This window comes from Homo sapiens, chromosome 9 (genome assembly GCF_000001405.40).
Source record: "Homo sapiens chromosome 9, GRCh38.p14 Primary Assembly".
Lineage (NCBI taxonomy): Eukaryota > Metazoa > Chordata > Mammalia > Primates > Hominidae > Homo > Homo sapiens.
The window spans coordinates 12674256-12689562 of NC_000009.12; the positions used below are offsets into that span (position 1 = coordinate 12674256).

Consider the following 15307-nt stretch of genomic DNA (forward strand, 5'->3'; position numbering starts at 1 on the left):
GAAGGTTTATCTGTAATGTATACCCAAACAGACATCAAATAAGACATAATTAACACAGTGTAGATTTTACACCTGCCTTTCCCTGCCAACATAATATTTGTTTTTATTATTTTATGTTTTTTTGTCACTGTCCTCAACATTGTAACACTTCCAGTCTAGAGTTATATACAGTGAATTTATTTTTCAGTTTTAAAAATAATGGTTTTACCATATTCGTTTTAAACAACTAATATGGGTTGTATATCTTATAGTTGTTCCTCAGCATTAATTAATCTCCAGAAGTTAAGGCTGTGAATATATAATTAATGAACAATGTGAAGGTGAGATGTCATTTAAGCAGTTGGCAGATTGTCTTTAAAATTAATAATCTGTTTCTCCAACTGTTTGCACTTATTTCAAGGTGCTACTTTCTTCTTGATGCCTTTTTTTCACTTTTTTCCTGTTTTATTGATATGTAATCTTTTGCACATTTATGAGGTGTACATGAGTGTTTGGTACATGCATAGAATATACAATGATCAAGCCAGGGTATCTAGGGTATCGATCACCTTGAGTGTTTATCATTTTTAAATGTTGGCATCATTTCAAGTCATCTGTTGCAGTTACTTTAAAATACACATAATATTGCTGCTAAGTATAGTACCCTAGTCTGCTGTCAAACATTAAAACGTATTTCTTTTAATTAACTGTATGTTTGTATCCATAACTAATGATCATCCCTAGTCTCTCCCACCCACCCTTCCCAGTCTCTGGTATTTATCATTCTATTCTCTATGTCCATGAGATCAAGTCACATGTGGAGGATAAAAAACTTAGTGACTTTAAGTCTTAAGTAACTATTCATGGGATAGGCTCTGATTGCGTGCCTGGCTATGGCATAAAAAACTTAATTAGAAAAGAGGAGACATGGTGCTCTTAAATTTATGAGAATACATTTTCAAAGTTTAAACTGGTGACTTTCAAACTTCTGAGGAAAGGAAAATACTGCCTTCTTTGTATCGAAAGTCATGGGTTGCTCGTACATATGCGTACGTACATGACTGATGTCACTTGGCTCAATGAACAATGCTAAGTTATCAAGCATCCATGAGAACTGCATTTGTGGAATTCATTCAGTTATTTTCGTTCGTATATATTTCTTTGGCATTTTCTCCAATTCTTAAAAAGTAGAATAGTTTTAATTTTCTTACATTGGAACTTCTCTAACTTGGTCAACATGATTAATTCCTTTTATGTCTTTTGAACCTCAGTTTCTTTATACGTAAAGAGGTTCAGCTGGATTAGATGTTCTCTGAGATCTGACCCCTGTGCAACATACTACAATTTGTAGTTAGAAGATATTGGCACTGCAGATCTCATTAAGGACCTGAATAAGACTTCAAGTTTATGTATTTGCCTGCATTTATATAGATATATATTTTACATAACTAATTCATTTAAAATCTCTATGAGTTTATTCATATGGAAAATAACAATAGTAAAAAAGACTACCTTCATAGAGTTGTGAGGAAATTAAATAACATTTATAAGCACTTTCACAGTACCCAGCCCATGATGAGTGCTCAATAAATGTTGTTATATTAATTTTTATTCTTCCTTGGCATCAGTGGCAATGTTTCTAATCAAGTACTAATATCATTAAGGGCAGTGTATTCTATCTTTTTTTAAAAAAGAAACTACAGTCATAATCTGAATCATTATTTTTTAGTTAAATTGTATTCATCTGTCATACAATTTCTCATGTGCACAATTTTCAGAAACATTTTAATGTTTCTGAACAATTCCTTATTTTAATCTCTACATCTTTATAGTAAAAATGTTAAGCATTGTGTGACCAATTTTGAATAAGTCATTTTGATACTCATGATTTTGTCTCGTAATAGCTAAAATAATGAGTGCTGAATTAGTTAAGTGGTTTTTCAGTGGGTTGATAGATTATTTAATGAGTTGGCATTAAGCAAACAATGTCCATATAGATAAGAAATTCTGTAAAATGCTCTAACTTTAGCTATTAAAATTATGTCAAATTTTCGAATAAAGAGATAGTGGCATGCAAATCAAATTCACAGGTATCACAGAGCTGGATATAAATAGCAGGAAATTAATAGATTAGAATAATAAGGCACCTCATCATGCTATAAAAATTGACAACATTTAGCAACTAAAATATAAAAGGGAATAATCAAACACCAAAATCAGAAATATAAGGTAAAACAAGTTGATACAAGAGATCTCTCTAATCAACTGCATGAGTAAAGAATTAAGGATTAAATTTACCATAATCTCAATGGATGAGGAAGCTGTCAAAAAATACAACACAAGCTTAGGCTTTAGGTTAGTTGAAAAATATGCTATAGAAGAATGATGCTGGAATTCCCATATTATTCTTTGCTGGGAAGAACACATTTGAAGAATGGGATACACTTCTGGGTACTTCAATTTCAATACAACATTAACCAGTGGGAGAATGTTGGATGAATATCAACAGAATAGGAATATATCTGGAAATGGAATGATTTAAAAGCAGTGTGTGTGTGTGTGTGTGTGTGTGTGTGTGTGTGTGTACACATATACATATGTTTGTATATGTATTAATTACAAAATTACCATGGAGAAGAAAAATTAGAGTAACTGGATTGGGAAAGGTGACAGCCACAGTGTTGTCACAGTTGGGGCTGTTCTTATCATTTGTGATGCTATACATGACGTGATGGAGCAGAAGTCACTGAAAGGCTAAATGTGCTTGTATGGCAGAACATTAAAAGCTGCCCATAAAATGAGAAAAAAAAATCCCTGCTTCATTGCCTGGACCTGATGGGCTCAAATATTAGCTGGAGAACTATATAAGTAACTAATTTTTTAAAGAGTGCCTTGGAGATATTGTTGAGGACATTGTGAAATACAGTGTTTTTGTCCCAATATGAAGCCCCTTCAGAGAAATTTCTTTATTATTGTAGACAAGAAAGTTTTGATCTCCCATCAGGGGAACTTTTTGTTTTAATGGACAATAAAAAGTCTATAACATTATATTTCCCTTTTTACTTCTATTGTTTGAAAACAGAATTCACTCAGTCAGCGATTCAGTGAATATTTATCATATTTATTTATTATATTTTCCTATTATATTTCACAGACTATTCTAGGTACTGGCAATGCAATAGTGAAAATGATAGGTAAGGAACTTTCTCTGTGGAACATCCATTCTTGTGGGCATGGAGGGTGGAAAGAAAGATATAAAATAAGTAATGAAACACATGGGCAAAATATTTTCAGTAGAGAGAGATTTACAAAGATAATTAAATAAGTCAACATGATTGAAAGAATATACCATTTAAAGTAGGCATTAGTTGGGCGCGATGGCTCACGTCTGTAATCGCAGCACTTTGGGAGGCCGAGGCGGGTGGATCACCTGAAGTCAGGAGGTTGACTCCAGCCTGACCAATATGATGAAACCTCATCTCTACTAAAATTACAAAAATTAGCCAGGCGTGGTGGCGGGCACCTGTAGTCCCAGCTAGCTACTCGGGAGGCTGAAACAGGAGAATTCCTTGTACCCGGGAGGTGGAGGTTGCAGTGAGCCCAGATTGAGCCATTGCACTCCAGCCTGGGAGACAGAAAGAGACTCCATCTCAAATAAAATAAAATAAAATAAAATAAAATAAAATAAAATAAAATAAAATAAAATAAATAAAATAAAATAAAATAAAATAAAATAAAATAAAAAGTACGTATTAGAGTTGAGTCCTGACTAATTCAGACAACTGCCAAAGCTCAATATCAGAGCTTTAAAGCAAAGGGAACAGCAAGTACAAATGTCCTCAGGAAGGCAAGAACCTTGGCTGTTGGAAAATAGGAGAAGGAGGCTACAAAAGTGATTGGAGCTTGGTGAATAAACAGGGAGATCAGAGAGATGGGCAGGAATCAAGTGTGGGCCCCACTCATTAGGATTTTACTCCATGTGTAAAGGGAAGCCATTAGAGTATCTTTAACAGGGGACAGCATGATCTGTTTCTTAACTTTAAAATGATCAATCATTCTATAATACTGTGAACTCTTTAGAAGCCTATGATTTTCATATATGAGCATATGCATTCTTAGTTTCCCACATCTTAATCTTCTGATTTCTTTACTGTCTAGTCTTGTCAATTTATTATTTAAATATCAACATTTAGTGTTTATCTATATTCTTGAAAGCTGATTCAAATCTTATAAAAGAATGATGGACCATAAATCTTAAATTAAATGAATTATGATTTGTTGACATTTTTGATAAGGATTGACTTAAAAGGCAGAAACTTGGATTTTAAAAACCCTTTGAGCCTGATACTCTAAAGGTCTATTGTATCTAGCTTCATAAGGATACACTGACTTTTCTTTCTTGCCAGTAAATCAAACAGAATCTCTTCAGTTGGCTTCGGCTTTCAGAAACACAGTCTTTTTTAGGTTATTCCTACTGTTAGGGTGAAGATTCCCAAAGCCTGGTTGACTCAAATTAGAGAGAAGAAAGAAACAAAGAAAGAACAAACAAAACTATTATTTCAATAATATGTCAGACATTTAACAAATAATTGCTGTCTAAAAGCATCATCTTCTAAAAATTATCTGAACATTCTGGTAGCAAGTTACTGAGAAATAGCAAACATTGCTTCTCCAGTTTTCTTAATATCAAATTCCTTTTTATAAGAAATGTTATTGAGTTAAGAAGAAAATGTAAAATATGTATATAAAGATTTATATTATGACAAATTAATGGAGAAAGCCAAAAGAATACAGACTGCTTTTACAAGTGAGGAGCAGAAGGAATAAAACTGTCAATAGCTAAGACAATGAATGTAAAATCCTGATGCCCACAAGCTTCAGAGGAAATTAACTGCAATTTTGTGATTTCCACCCTCAGTGTCTGATTATATGACATACCAATATCTGTGGCTCTTTGAATGTTTCTCATTTTGGAATCTTCAAGGGACCTTCTGTAAATGGGCCAACCATGGTTTCCCACTAAAGATTAGAGAGAATTTAATTCTCCACAAACGCAGCTGCAGAAACTGCCTACTGTAACCTTAAGACCAGTTTTACGCAGTAGACACGGATATAACTTGCTGCAACTCTAGGACTAGTTTTACATAATGCCTGCTTCCAAAACCTTATTGGTGCCCATGAACTTTCTTTTAAAACAATATATAACATATTCCTTTCTGATAAAACTTCCAAACTCCTCTTTTTCCTTTGGACGTACTGAAGACCATTTCGTGTGTGTGTATGCTACAAATTGTGATTCTGTGATTTCCAACATAAAATGTTAACTTTAGATATTTATCTCTACATATTATTTTGACCTTGACATTGTGAACTAAGGAAGTTGGGTCAAGGAAAATCAAGTATTGCTTCTTTCTATAGTGGGAATGAAAAAAAAATAAAAAGAAATTAATTATCTGTGTTACAAATGATAGATGAAGGATATAATTTTAAATTCAATGTAAAGGCACACTCTATCATAAACAGATTTTGTAGTAAATTCCACCTCTACGCAAAAACCTTCCTGACCTAGTTAAAAAATAAAGTTTCAATCCCTCTCCTTAGCCTCTGTGTTTCCTTCCATCCCTGTGTTTCCTTCAAATCGCATATCACAACTTGTAATGTTTTTAATGTATATTTCTGTTTATTTAAATGTCAGGGTTTGGGATTTATATTTTTACTTGTTTCTCTCTCTCTCTCTGTGTGTGTGTGTGTGTATGTGTGTGTGTGCATGTATGTGTGTGTCTGCGCGTGTGCACGCGCATGTGTGTTTATCCTGATTCTTCAACTAGAATGCAAGCTTCTTGCAACCAGGGCCACTTTTGCATTGTACATATTTGTATTCCCTTTTTATTGTATTCACGGTGCCTGGCACATAGATGATCAATAATTTGTTACAGAAAATAATGATCCTATATCACTAATCAAAATCAATCATTCCATGCTCTATATTCTCATTGCTTTGGTTGTTTACCTCTCTTTTAGCAATTAATATTATGTGCCACTTTTTAATGATTTGAGCTCCTTGAGAGTAGGGACACATCTCATTCACCTTTGTGTGCTATTACATTAGCCAGTGCCATCCCCACAGATAGAGTTATTAAATGATAGCTGAAATGACAATAGAAGCTGCAGAAAGCTGCTTCCATTGCTTCTCTGCAACAAAGACAGAATTATTTGGCCAGACGTTGAGATGCTTAACTACTGAAAGGCTGGATCTCAATCTCAAAACTTTGGGTTTATTCCAGGATCATATGAGTTACAAAGAAGAAAAAAAAAAGAGAGAAAGGAATGCAAACTATTTCTGCCTGAAGGCATAATCTTACCCTAAAAGTCGTATGAAAATTCCAGCAGCAAGTCACTGACAAATCACAAGCATTGTTGTCTGTTTTCCTAATTATATATTTCAAACACTATGTATTAGGAGACAAAGAAATGGGAAAATAACCTAATTCTGGTGTATGTTTCTAACTTCTGTAAAGTTGGGAAAACAATTAAACTGAGGAGCGTAAAAATAGTTTAAATCCTTTTCCACTTCAAAGAAACAAAAAGGAACCTTGGCTTTCTCCTATAAGGTTTTCGATCTGGGACAGATAAAAATATAATGTTAATTTTTTAACAACTCAACAGAATGCAGCATCCTTAAGAATGAATGCGATGAATTGGTGCAAGTCCTACATGGCAGATAAAGGGGCCCTGTGGTTTGCCTACTGCTATCACATACTGACTTAAACCAATGGTGGCAGCAGCTGGTTCTTTGCACTTCAGTTAAGGAGCAATGAGTATATCAGTTCTTTTCATATCAAATTATCCACATTCTTTGTTTGAGAATAACCTGCAAATGTAATAAGCAATGTCCTTTTTAACTTTCAATGTAAAAAAATTACATTGCTCTTCAACATATAGAATAAACTATGAATATGTCGTCATAGACACAGTGTGTGCCTTAAAACAGGGTTAGCTTTTTTCGAAAATAAAAATGCAGGATTACTGAATAAATTTGACTATCTATAAACAACAAAAAAAGTATGTTTTTCATGCAACATACTTACACTAAAAATTACTTGTTGTTTATCTGAAATTCACATTTACTTAGGAGTCCTGATTATATCTGGCAACCCTATCCTAAGTTTAAATTTCACCTTCACTACCAGCTACGCTTTGTTAGTTATTTAATCTCTCTGAGCCTGGAAAATTAGAGTGAACATATCTATATCTTTCATGGGCTTTTTTTTTCTCTATGCTTTTACTGTGGTAAAACACATGTAATATAAATTGTACTATCTTAAGCATTTTTAGATGTACGGTTCAGTGACATTAAGTAAATTCATACTGTTGTGCAACCATCAATACCATCCATCTCCAGAACTGTTTTCCTTCTTGCAAAACTGAAACTCTATACCCATTAAACAATAAATACCCATTTTCCCTTTATACTCAATCCCTGGCAACTTCCATTCTACTTTATATCATTATTTTTTTGACTACTGTCAGTACCTCACATAAGTGGTATCATACAGTATTTGTCTTTTGTGACTCACTTACTTCACTTAGCATAATGTCTTCAAGCTGCATCCACCATTCATCTGTTAATGGACACTTGGGTTGCTTCTACATTTTAACTATGAGTAATGCTATGAACATGGTTATATAAATACCTCTTCAAGAGCCTTCTTGCAATTCTTTTGGGTATATACTCAGAGGTGGAACTTCTAGATCATGTGGTAATTCTATTTTAAATTTTTTGAGAAACCACCATATATGTTTCCACAGCAGTTGTACCATTTTACCTCCCCGTCAACAATGTACAAGGATTCCAGATTTTCCAGGTCCTTGCCAACCTTTATTATTTTCTGTTATTTTGATAGCGGTCATACTAATGGGTGTGACATAGTATCTCATTGTATTTTTGGTTTACGTTTCCCTAATGATTAGTAATGTTGAGCATTTTTTCATGTACTTATTGATATTGGTAAGTCTTATTTTGGAGAACTAGATATTCAAATCCTTTGCCTATTTTTTAATTGGGTTAATTTTGTTTTTGAGTTTTAGAATTTCTATACATATCTTGACATTAATTCCTTATCAGATATATGATTTGCAAATATTTTCTCCCATTTTGTGTATCAAGGGTAATGCTGGCCTCACAAAATGAGTTCAGCAGTGTTCTCTCCTCTTTAAATTTTTTGGAGAAGCTTGAGAAAGATTTATGTTAGTTCCTCTTTAAATGTTTATTAGAATTCATCTGTGAAGCCATCAAGTCCAGGGCTTTTCTTTGTCAGAAGATTTTTTATTACTGATTCAATCTCTTTACTAATTGCAGGCTTATTCAGATTTTCTATTGGTTCATAGTTTCGCCTTGGTAGGCTTTGTGTTTCTAGGAATTTGTCCTCTTTATGTTATCCAATTTGTTGGCATACAATTGGTTGTCATATTCTCTTACAATTCTTTTTATTTTTGTAGAATGGTAATAATGTCTCACTTTAATTTCTGATTTTAGTAATTGAGTCTTTTTTTTCCTTAGGTCATCTAGCTAATGTTTAGTCAATTTTGTTGATTTTTTTGAGGAACAACTTTTTGTTTCATTGATTTTCTCTGTTATTTTTCTATTCTGTATTTTTTAAATCTGTGCTCTAATCTTTATTTTTTCTTCCTTCAGTCAGCTTTGGGTTTAATTTTGGTTTGGGGGTAATTTTTCCTTTCTTTAATTCTATCAATTTTTGCTTTATATATTTTGGCAATCTGCTTTTAGACATGTAAATATTTACAGTTGTTATATCCCTTTGTGGTATTGAAACTTTTGTTTATATATATTTAATTCTATCCATTTTTGCTTTATAGATTTTGACAGTCTGCTTTTAGGCATGTATTTACACTTGTTATATCCCTTTGTGGTATTGAAACTTTTGTTTTTATTATATATATATGTACAAAACATATATATATATATATATATATATATATATATATATATATATATATATAATGTTTTTTGTCTCGTAACATTTTTGCATTTAAAGTCTATTTTGTCTGATATTAAGATAGGCAGCCCTGATCTCTTTTGGTTACTATTTGCTAATAATTTTATTAAGGATCTGGTGTATGTAATAGTCACTTTACTCTTGCTGCTTTCAAAATTCTTTGTCTTTGTCTTTCAACAGTTTAGCTATAATGTATCTCAGTGTCAGTCTCTTTGAGTTTATTCTACTTACTTTGTTGAGCTCCTTGGATATGGACATTTATGTCTTTAATCAATTTGGGGAAGTTTTTAGTTATTATTTCTTTAAATATTCTCTCTGTTCATTTTTCTCTTCTTCTGGAGCACCAGCAATGTGTATGCTGGTCCACCCAATGGTGTCACACAGGTCACTCAGGCTGTGATAGCTTTTTTCCAATCTTTTGTTCTTTCTGTTTTTCGGACAATAATTCCCACCATCCTATCTTCAAGTTCACTAACTCTTTCTTCTGCCTGCTCAAATTTGTCTTTGAATTCCTGTAGTAAATTTTTTTATGTCAGTTATTGAAATTTCCTGTTTCAGAATTTATTTTTAGTTTATTCTTAGATAGTCCATCTCTTTATTGATATTTCCATTGTGTCTATACATCATTTTCTTTACTTTCTCCATATCTTGTTTAGTTCTTTGAGCATTTTTAAGACAGTTGTTTTAAAGTCTTTGTCTAGGATATCTGTTATCACATTGTTTTCAAGGATTATTTCTGTTGGTTTATTATTATTTTTTCTTTGAATGAAAGAAAATTTCTGTTTGTTTGTATGCCTTGTGATTGTTGTTGTTGAACACTGGGCATTTGAGCTAATAGTGATAGCTCTGAGAATAAAATACTCCCCTTGTTCCAGAGTTTTCTGTTTTTCGTTTTTGTTTTTGGTTTTGTTTTTGGTTTTGTTTTTGGTTTGGTTTGGTTTGGTTTGGTTTGGTTTGGTTTGGTTTGGTTTGGTTTGGTTTTGAGAGAGGTTCTCACTCTGTCACACAGGCTGGAGTGCAGTGACATGATCATGGCTAACTGCAACCTCTACCTCCCAGACTCAAGCAATCCTCCCACCTCAACCTCCTGAGTAACTAGGAACACAGGCACTCGCCACGACACCCGGCTAATTTTTTTGTATTTTTGGTCAAGATGGGGTTTTGTCATGTTGCCCAGGCTGGTCTTGAACTCCTGAGCTCAAGCCATCGACCACCTACGTGTTCCAAACTGCCGGGATAACAGGTGTGAGCCACTGCACCCTGCCTTTTGTTTTTGTTTTTGATTATTGTAGGCTTTCTCTATGCTAAGGATCAACCTGACATAAAAAAGTAAGCTCTTCTTAGATCTTTTCTGAGTTTGTTCCTTCCCCTGAGCATGAGTGATGACTTTCTAGTTTCCTCTATATATGCAGTTGCTCTTGAGTTTCCAATATTCAATGTCTTATTTCCAAAATGGTAAAAAAAGATAAAAATAAAGGGGAAGGAGGTGCTGATGATTTAAATCCCCTGGAAGTCACTTCACCAGGGGGAGAGGGGCAGTAGTCACCACATCTTTGTCTTCACCTCTGTGATCATAAGCAACAATCAGTGATCAGAACACAGATCCCCAATATTTGGAGGATAAGGTCCTCTTTGTCCACCCTGACTCCCACAGGATGCGTGCAAACTGATCTAGGAACGTGTGCATGGCTTCCGCTGTGCTAAGAGCTGTAATTGACCAAAAGTAACTTCAATTCACCTTCCAAGTCCTCCTCCGGAGGATACAAGCCATCAATAGACTCTAGAGTTCTGAAATGTTTATATCAGACAGGCTCTGCCAGTACAGTTGTTACCTAGGAGAGGAGACAGATTTCTGGTATTTCCTACTCCACTATCTATCTTCCCTGAATTGCATTTTTGAGATAATTGAGACATTACTGTGTTTCCTGGCATAGATGTCAGATCTGAAGTAAACCTAAACATACCTTTTAATATAAACACACATTATCAGTCAAGATAAAGTTAAATAGATATTATGCTGACAATGCCCAAATCTAAATCTAATATAAAACCAGTTTATTTTTCATATATGTGGCATTGGTTGGGATTCTATGCAATGGCTCAATAATCCAGATTGCTTGGGTCTTGAAGCCCTAAAATTTCAGCATGGGACATTCTCTGTAATTGTCAGGCACAAGCGAGAAAGGCATAAAAGTTATCTCACTAAATACTTGAGACTCAAAGTGATATACTTCACTTTTCCATACAGCCTGCAGACAAAACCCATCATATAGCTCTGCCTAGCTACAAGGGGATGGCAAAATATAATCCCATATATCTGAAAGGAGAGAAGAACCAGATATGGGTAAGCACTACAAGTTTTTACCACAATATTTATTATGAAAATTAGAAACAATTATAGAGTTAAATAAGTACTCAGTGGTATAACCTCCTTCCTAATGTAGAAATCTCTTCCAAGATGTCACCAGCGCTTTAACTAACTTTTGTTCAAATGCCTCTACTGTCATGGAACTCACAGCCTCATTATTAAATATTTTCTTCTTTGTTGTAATTGTTGAACTAAAATCTTCCTTCTGATAATTCACAAGATTTGCTTTACCCTGTGACTGTCACTTTCAATGTTTGCACTTTATTAAAAAAGAAAAACAACTGTAGAAAATGAGGTGCAAATTAAGACGACATATTTATTTTTAAAATGAAGAAAAACCAAGTACTTGATGAAAGAATAGATCACTTTTAAGAGCTAAGAATGCTTAGGAAAAGTCACAAGATATAATCAGTCAGTTAGAGTTTTCTTTTAATTTTTTTAGACTACAAATTATTCTTCAGAAGATGAGGATGGATGTGCAATAGGGCTTATTGTCTTTTTGCTTTTCATTTTTATTGTTGTGTGTATATAACACCTTCCTTATGAAAAAATAAGTTTTATGCAGCAAATTTCTGAATAAAAACAAAGGAAAGTTTAATACCTTAGGTAAATTTTAAGCTATCTTTTTTAATCTATTAGCCAGATACAAGTATTTTGTGTAAAATATTATATTTCAAAAAATGATAAACTGTGCTGATGGGAGTGACTAATGTTTAAAGGCCAAATTTTTTTATTCAGTGATTAAAATAATAATGGGAATATCTAATATATACCTTCCATGAACAGAGAACATAAAGTATTTTGTAACTGGAAGATTATGCTTCATCTATTCACAATAAGAGTTTGCTTTCCATTTGAACTTTCTTATTGATTAATACCTGGATTTAATTTTCTCTCTCACCAGCTTCCTATTTTGTTTGTTTAAATTTTTCATGCATATTGGCAGACTATCATTGAACAAATCAGAAAGAATATAGTGCTCCATTTTTATTGGCCTACTTATAATTCTGCATACGAAAATAGCTTAATGGTTGAGCTCATTTCAAAAAAGGACCAGATGCAGTGGTTCACACCTGTAATCCTAGCACTTTGGGAGGCCAACGTGGGCAGATCACTTGAGGTCAGGAGTTTGAGACCAGTCTAGTCAACATGGTGAAACCCCGTCTCTACTAAAAATTCAAAAATTAGCCACGCGTGGTGGTGGGTGTTTGTAATCCCAGCTACTCAGGAGTCTGAGGCAGGAGAATCGCTTGAATCTGGGAGATAGAGGTTGCACTGAGCCAAGATAGCACCACTGGACTTCAGCCTGAGTGACAAAGCAAGACTGTGTTTCAAATATATATCAATATGGGAAAAGATTTCATAATGACCACTGACTAAAAGGAGACTCAGTAAGTCCCCAAAATATAACAACATAATTAGACAAGGAGTTTGATATTAAATATCATAGGCTACTTTGTCTATAATTGTTAATACAAGATGTCAACACAGTTCAAAAATGAAATATATATTGTATGAATCAATTTCTCATCTCCTTAGACATGTTTGACTGCTTTTTATAATTATCTCTCTGTCCCTCCACCCTCCTTTAGTCTTCCTGTTTATTTTAAATGATATAATAACACAATCACAGCAGTTGTAACGTTGTGGAAATAGTGCTAGAAATGGGACTAAGACGACCTGTTCAGTCTCAGCTTGCTTATTTAATGGTACACAAATTTGAGCAGATCATTTTAGTTTTTTGAACCTCCATGAATAAAGATACCTACCTCATAGAATTGTATGAGGATTAAATATGAGATGTGTTGAAATTTGCCCCAGTGCTGTCAGTACTTCTTGAGTTCCCATCCCTTTATGATGTCCACAGAGACAAAAGGTCTCAGACAAAAAGCTAGAATTATGAAACAAGTGAAAGTCAAATATAATAATTGAAAAAAATCTATAGGCCTTTGAAAGTTATAAATACAGAATAAATAGTGCTAATGGATCATTTTCTAATTTTTAGAAAAGGCCTTTTTCCCTATAGAGTTTATATCAGTGCATTTTTACAATTGTACTGAAGAATTTTTATAAATATTTTACAAAATAAAGAAATCGCTGTTGACAAAGCATTTGTGGACCTCAAGAGATTCTGGATGCTGTGTGTGATAGATGTGAATAAACAGACATGCCAACACCAACATTTACAATAAAGAGCATGCCAGCCTATGCTATCAGTGGCCTCTCTTTCTCAATATGACCCATGGGAATACAAACACATATTTTTCTGCCGCTTTTCTGAATGGGTATGCATTTCTGCATGAAGACTACTACTTCCTACCCACTCCCTCATACTGGACATTCTAGGTCCCTGGGCTTCCTGTTTAGTGGAGGGTTACTAAGAGATGTTAATTGACAATCAAGTGCAGAAATTCTTTTATATTACTAATAGTATAACCCTGTAACCCTATTCCGTGACTCTGCAATGAAAAGGGAGGATGCTATAGCACCCCCAAATAAAAGCCTTAAGTAATCAAACTCACACAGTTATAGACATAACTTATTTTAATTATCTGCTTAATTTAAATTTAAGTGATATTTGTTAACCATACAGAGTCCATGGGGTAACAGTGATTGGGAGTGCCTCCTCTAGTCCATCATCTTGTGCCTGAGCAAGGTTACTGCACTTGGAACCTCATCCTCCTGGCTTGGCTTCCACAGTCACATTACAGCAATCCTCCACACCGCTCTCACGGTGCTCTCTATCCCTCTTCCAGCACCTCAGTGCTACCAAATTCTTCATTCCCTCCTCTTGTGATGTAACTTCTAACATCCCGTCTCATGGCAGATTATTAGAGTGCGTAAGGAGGAAACAGAGGTAAATTTTGGTTCTGATGAAGAGGTAGAAGGGGTCAGGAGGTTTCCATCATTGTCTGTCTTCTGCAAGGTTATCTAAAAAGTGAAGAGACATCCTTAAAGTGAGTATTGACCAAATGTCAGTTGTCTCTTCAGACTTCCTATGGTTTAAAAATAAATGAAAAGAAAAAAGCTCTGTTTTCTTACCTAAATTTGAGTTATATTACCAAAGGCCCCTTAGGTAATGGGGCCTTTATACGTTCCAGAGTAAGTAGCATATGGTGTGTGCATGCATGTTTCTCTCTCTCTCTCTCTCTCTCATTCTGTGTGTGTGTGTGTGTGTGTGTGTGTGTGTGTGTGTGTGTCAGTGGAGAGAGAGAGAGACGAAGAAAAGGGAGGAGTGATAATCCTTCTAAACGTATACAAGTTGCTTGTGAGAAAAATAGCAGTAATCATAACACACCAAGTCCCTTACTGCTGGTAATGCTTTTCATGTGTCTCTCCAGATTGCCTAATTTTAACTTCTTAAATGTCTCATCTCCTCCTCTATACCCTGGAAAATTATAATATGCTGATTCAATTTAAAAAAGTTATTTGAAATGTAGCCAAACTCATTTGATCTTCCTCAATTCATCACTGCATATGGGTTTCATCCCATTTTATTAGTAAATTTGACACTGATTATGATAAATCCATCCAGTGCCACACATCTCCATCTGCAAATTTCAAGGTTTAATTTTAAACTTTTTAGGGTAAGAGGTTTTTAAAATATTTTCAACCTGTAGGATTTCCAAGACCTTATTTCTAAATGTTTCAATATGACCAATCTTATACATGTGATTTTATATTTCTATATCAGATATAAAAAAGATTTAGATTATTTAGGCTTTCAGTTAGTTCTTTTTATACATGAAGCTACTTTTACGAGCAAGATGAAGGGGAAGTGAGATAGTGGCAGTTGCTGTCTTTTGGATGACAGGCCAATTTACTTCTTGCTTCTAAAGGAAGTAGGCTTTACCCTTTAAACCTCCCCCATCATATGTTCTTGCATGTACTGTTTCCTTTCATCAGTAAGTTCTCCTGATCTTCTCTGTCTCTCCCTCTCTCT

At 34.2% G+C, this 15307-nt stretch overlaps 5 annotated features.

The window, feature by feature from the left end:
- Window positions 937-1081: an enhancer, noted in NCBI's record as "145 bp 9:12675264 sequence used in MPRA reporter constructs". NCBI's record gives its function as "activates a minimal TATA-containing promoter with rs10960751 allelic activity by MPRAs in C283T melanocytes and UACC903 melanoma cells {active_cell/tissue: C283T | UACC903}" and the evidence as "EXISTENCE:reporter gene assay evidence [ECO:0000049][PMID:36423637]".
- Window positions 937-1101: a biological region, named in NCBI's record as "melanoma risk locus-associated MPRA allelic enhancers 9:12675264 and 9:12675284".
- Window positions 957-1101: an enhancer, noted in NCBI's record as "145 bp 9:12675284 sequence used in MPRA reporter constructs". NCBI's record gives its function as "activates a minimal TATA-containing promoter with rs10960752 allelic activity by MPRAs in C283T melanocytes and UACC903 melanoma cells {active_cell/tissue: C283T | UACC903}" and the evidence as "EXISTENCE:reporter gene assay evidence [ECO:0000049][PMID:36423637]".
- Window position 1009: a transcriptional cis regulatory region, noted in NCBI's record as "rs10960751 or 9:12675264 MPRA-significant variant associated with a GWAS melanoma risk locus at 9p23". NCBI's record gives its function as "allelic transcriptional activity by MPRAs in C283T melanocytes and UACC903 melanoma cells {active_cell/tissue: C283T | UACC903}" and the evidence as "EXISTENCE:reporter gene assay evidence [ECO:0000049][PMID:36423637]".
- Window position 1029: a transcriptional cis regulatory region, noted in NCBI's record as "rs10960752 or 9:12675284 MPRA-significant variant associated with a GWAS melanoma risk locus at 9p23". NCBI's record gives its function as "allelic transcriptional activity by MPRAs in C283T melanocytes and UACC903 melanoma cells {active_cell/tissue: C283T | UACC903}" and the evidence as "EXISTENCE:reporter gene assay evidence [ECO:0000049][PMID:36423637]".